The following is a 4,442-nucleotide window of genomic DNA, read 5'->3' as shown; positions in this document are numbered from 1 at the left end:
TAACCTAGAATAAAAGTTTTTTTTTCCTTCAGCACTTTTAATATGTCATGCCACTCTCTCCTGGCCTGTAAGGTTTTCACTGAGAAGTGTGCTGCCACAACTATTGGAGTTTTTTGGTATGTTATTTGCTTCTTTTCTCTTGCTGCTTTTAAAATCCTTGTTTTTTCTTTCTTTTTTTTTTTTCTTTTTCTTTTTTTTTTTGATATGGGGCTTCACTCTTCTTGCTCAGGCTGGAGTGCTGTGGCACAATCTTGGCTCACTGCAACCTCTGCCTCCCTGGTTCAAGTGATTCTCCTGCCTCAGCCTCCCAAGTGGCTGGGATTATAGGTACCTGCCACCATACCTGGCTAGTTTTTTGTATTTGTAGTAGAAATGGGGTTTCACCATGTTGGCCAGGCTGGTCTCAAACTCCTGACTTCAGGTGATCCACTCATCTTGGCCCCCCAAAGTGTTGGATTACAGGCATGAGCCACCTCGCCCCGCCTAAAATCCTTTCTTTATCCTTGATCTTTCAGAGTATAATTATTAAATTTCTTGAGATAATCCTATGTGGGTTAAATCTGCTTGGTGTTCTACAACCTTCAGGTACTTGAATATTGATGTCTTTCTCTAGGTTCAGAATGCCCCCTGTTATTATTTCTTTTAATAAACTTTCTACTCTAATTTCTCTCTACCTCCTCTTTAAGGCTAATATCTCTTAGATTGCCCTTTAGAGGCTATTTTCTTGATCCTCTAGGCATGCTTCATTCTTTTTTATTCTTTATTCTATTGTCTCCTCTGACTGTATTTTCAAATAGCCTGTCTTCAAGTTCAGTAATTCTCTCTTCCGCTTGATCAATCCCACTGTTGAAAGACTGACCTCAACAGTTGATGCATTCTTATTTGTCAACTGAATTTTTCAGCTTCAGAATTTCTGCTTCATTTTTTAAAGTTATTCCAATCTCTTGGTTAAATTTATCTGCTAGAACTCTGAATTCCTTCTCTGTGTTATCTTGAATTTCACTGAGCTTCCTCAAAACACCTATTTTGAATTCTCTCTGTGAAAGGTCACATATTTCTGGCTCTCTGGGGTTTGTCACTGGTGCCTTGTTTAGTTTGTTTGGTGAGGTCATGTTTTCCTGTATGGTCTTGATGCTCGTGGATGTTCTTCAGTGTGTGAGCATTGAAGAGTTAGGTATTTACTCTAATCTTCGCAGTCTGGGCTTATTTGCTCCTGTCTTTCTTGTGAAGGCTTTTGAAGTATTCACAGAGAATTGAATGTTGTAACGTAAGTCTTTAGTCACTGCAGCCGTATGTGCATTAGGACACACCCCAAAGCTAGTAACACCCTGACTCTTGTAAGCTTGCAAAAATATTGCCTTAGTGGTCTTGGGTAAAACCCATGAAAATTCTCTTAATTACCAGGCAGAGACCCTTGTTCACTTCCCTTACTTTCCCCTAAATAAACAGTCTCTCTGGGCTGAACTTCCTGGAGTCGGGGGAGGGGTAACACAATCATTCCTGTGGCCATCACTGCTGTGTCTGTGCTGGGTCATACCTGAAGCCAGCACAGTACTGGGTCTCGCCCAAGGGCTGTGGTAACTATTGCCTGGCTACCACTGATGTTTATTCAAGGCCCTAGGGGTCTTTAATCTGCACATGTCACAATTCAGTTATCTTTTTTCAAAATCTAAGTTTCCACACACAGCACTGAGATAATTCAGTTTTAATAATGACCTCTTTGAGTGCTGTATCATATTTGGAGGAGAGGAGACACAATCTGCCCTGACTAGGAAACACTTAGAGATACAGCACACTCATTTGATCACATCTTACTACCCGGCATCAACCACATAATTCCCACATTTTATTATTCTATGTGTTCAGTAACATTTTGAATACATTATGGAAGACCCATAAGGGAACATAATGAAAAGTGTGGGAAGAACAACATGTAGAATTAAATGCATGGAGATTCTGTGAACGAAGAGATAAGTACCTGTAAAATAATGCTAATCTGTGAGAAGGGCAAAACAACAAATTTGTCATTAATAACAACCTTTGTGGTTCCTTGCACTGGAAACTATATTATTTGAAAATGATATAGTTACTAAATGTCCAATACAGCAAACCTCATAAAAATGTTTGAAATTAAAAATCTAGCTCCATGACATGAATTTGGTCCAAAGTAATGGTGTTTCTGTGATGTGGTTATTGACAATACCATAGAGCAATAAACCTGACCAAATGCTTTCTCATTCTCCATCATTGTTTGGTTTGCACTAATCATCTATAAATTGCCTGTTTGTCAGAAATGGTAGAATAGTTAGGGAGGAAAAGAAGAGAGCTAACTGGAGCAGGATCCCCATTTTTTAAAGCAGTAAATACCTTCAGTTCTCTTCTTAAACATCACCTCCATGTCTCAATGTTCCATCTCCAACCCAGACTCCTACTCCAGTCATGCAAATAACCATACAAAACAAATGACAAATAGATCAGAAGTTTAATTGAAAAACAAGACATGTGTCATTCATTGTCACAGCCACTGATGGATCTGTTCACTTAATAATTCACAAAAAATCTTTCTGTTGACCTTACCAATTTCAACACGTTTTTGGTTATAACTTGTTAATTTCCCATAGAAAAGCAAGGATTTTATTTTACCTCAACATGTGATTTTTAGTGATATGCTCCCTCCAAAGAGACTTCACCACATCAAAAGGGTGACGTTTTCCTATGGAATTCATTAGTTCAGGTTTTATTTTATTATTTATTTATTTATTTATTTATTTATTTATTTATTTTTATTTTTTGAGACAGGGTCTCACTCTGTTGCCCAGGCTGGAGTGCAGTGGTACAAATACAGCTCACTGCAGCTTCGACCTCCTGGCTCAAGCATTCCTCCCACCTCAGCCTCTGGAGTAGCTGGGACCACAGGTATGTGCCACCAAGCCTGGTTAATTTTTTTAAAGTTTTGTAGAGATGAGATCCATGTTGCCCAGACTGGTCTTGAAATCCTGGGCTCGAGTAGTCTCCCACCTCAGCCTCCCAAAGTGGTGGGATTACAGGCGTGAGCCACTACCCCCAGCCTAGATTTTGATCAGTAGGAAGCTAGTGTGTCTTGATGTTCAGAAAATACAGCATGTGACTGACAAAGCTGAGTTTAGAGCTCTAGTTCTGTCACTTTCTAGTTGAATGACCTCAAGCAAGTTACTCAACCTTTCAGTGATTATGGTTTTCTTTTTCGGTTGTTCTATCTGGTCCTTTTTAAAATCCACCTGCTCTTTTTTCATTGTAATTATGTTCCATATGTTTCTCTTCCTTCATTCATGTGTTTACATATTTTCAAAATATTTATTTAATAACTTATTTCATATTATTCTGTTTTCTACATTCTTGGATGTACTAATTTCCCCCAGTTACAGTATCTGCTGGCTCTTGCTTATGACACATTATTTCCTTGTGTGTCTTAGAATTCATCAGGGTTTTGCTTCTCTTAGAAGAAATTCTTGTTGCCTTATTTATAGAAGTGATTTTCAGAATGCTCTTTCATTTGTTTCTACCAGGCATCCCTGATAATCACTGCTCCACAACTCAATAGTTCAGGCAGAGATGTTTCCTTGCTCCCTTCTGGGGACCTATATGCAGACTTTTTCTAGTTCTCCTTTCACTGATGGTGGGGACCTTTGTGAGACTTGGTTTATATACAGGTCTCAGTTTCAAATCTTTAACTTGTCTCTTGTTTCTTTTGAGTTTTAAAGTCCAAATCCCTAAATGTTAAGGCCTATTTCTTCTTAATGCCCAGAAGTTTCCCATTCCTTTTTGCAAGCTCACCTTGGTATTTACAATATAATTTATTTTATCTTGTTTAACAGTTCTAAGTAATGGTAGGAAGGGTTCTTTATTAGTTTAGGCCACCACACCCCCAGAACCATTTTCTTATCTCTGCATATATGAAATACAGAATATGATGGCATGTACCACACATAGTTTTGGTAAGGTTAAATAAGATAGAGATTTACATGCTTAGGGAAATGTCAAGTACATAATTAACTGCATAATAAATGTCAGTCTTTATTGTCTGGATGCTATCACTGGTATTGTTAGGGTTCTCTTGGAACTCATCTCTGACACAGCTCTTAATATTTTATTAGATCAACAATTTGTTGGGTCTGCTACGACTCACCAAATTAACTTGGCAATGATCTCTCTACTAGATGTAACAGGAATTCTGGTTGTCATGGTTGGCTCTTAGCAAACTGGAGAGACCTGGAGGGTTAGGATCTACCAGTATGCCTCACCTTGTAAAGGTGACAAATTGAGAATAAGCAAAACTAATCACTAAGAGATGGAGGAGAGTTAGTAAAAAACTAGTAAGATTCATTGCTAATTAGGGCCAGTTTTTAGTTTCCAGAATAAAGGGACAGATATCAGAAGCTAAAGTTGGATACTGCAAACTTTGT

General features: G+C 38.2%; 1 annotated feature.

Moving 5' to 3' along the window:
* Nucleotides 3,179–3,228: a silencer, noted in NCBI's record as "silent region_12167". NCBI's record gives its function as "represses an Ori minimal core promoter by ATAC-STARR-seq in GM12878 lymphoblastoid cells {active_cell/tissue: GM12878}" and the evidence as "EXISTENCE:reporter gene assay evidence [ECO:0000049][PMID:35858748]".

The sequence above is a fragment of the Homo sapiens genome, chromosome 2, assembly GCF_000001405.40.
Source record: "Homo sapiens chromosome 2, GRCh38.p14 Primary Assembly".
Taxonomy (NCBI): domain Eukaryota; kingdom Metazoa; phylum Chordata; class Mammalia; order Primates; family Hominidae; genus Homo; species Homo sapiens.
The sequence above is the reverse complement of the archived record's forward strand: the minus strand, read 5'-3'. Positions and strand labels throughout refer to the sequence as shown.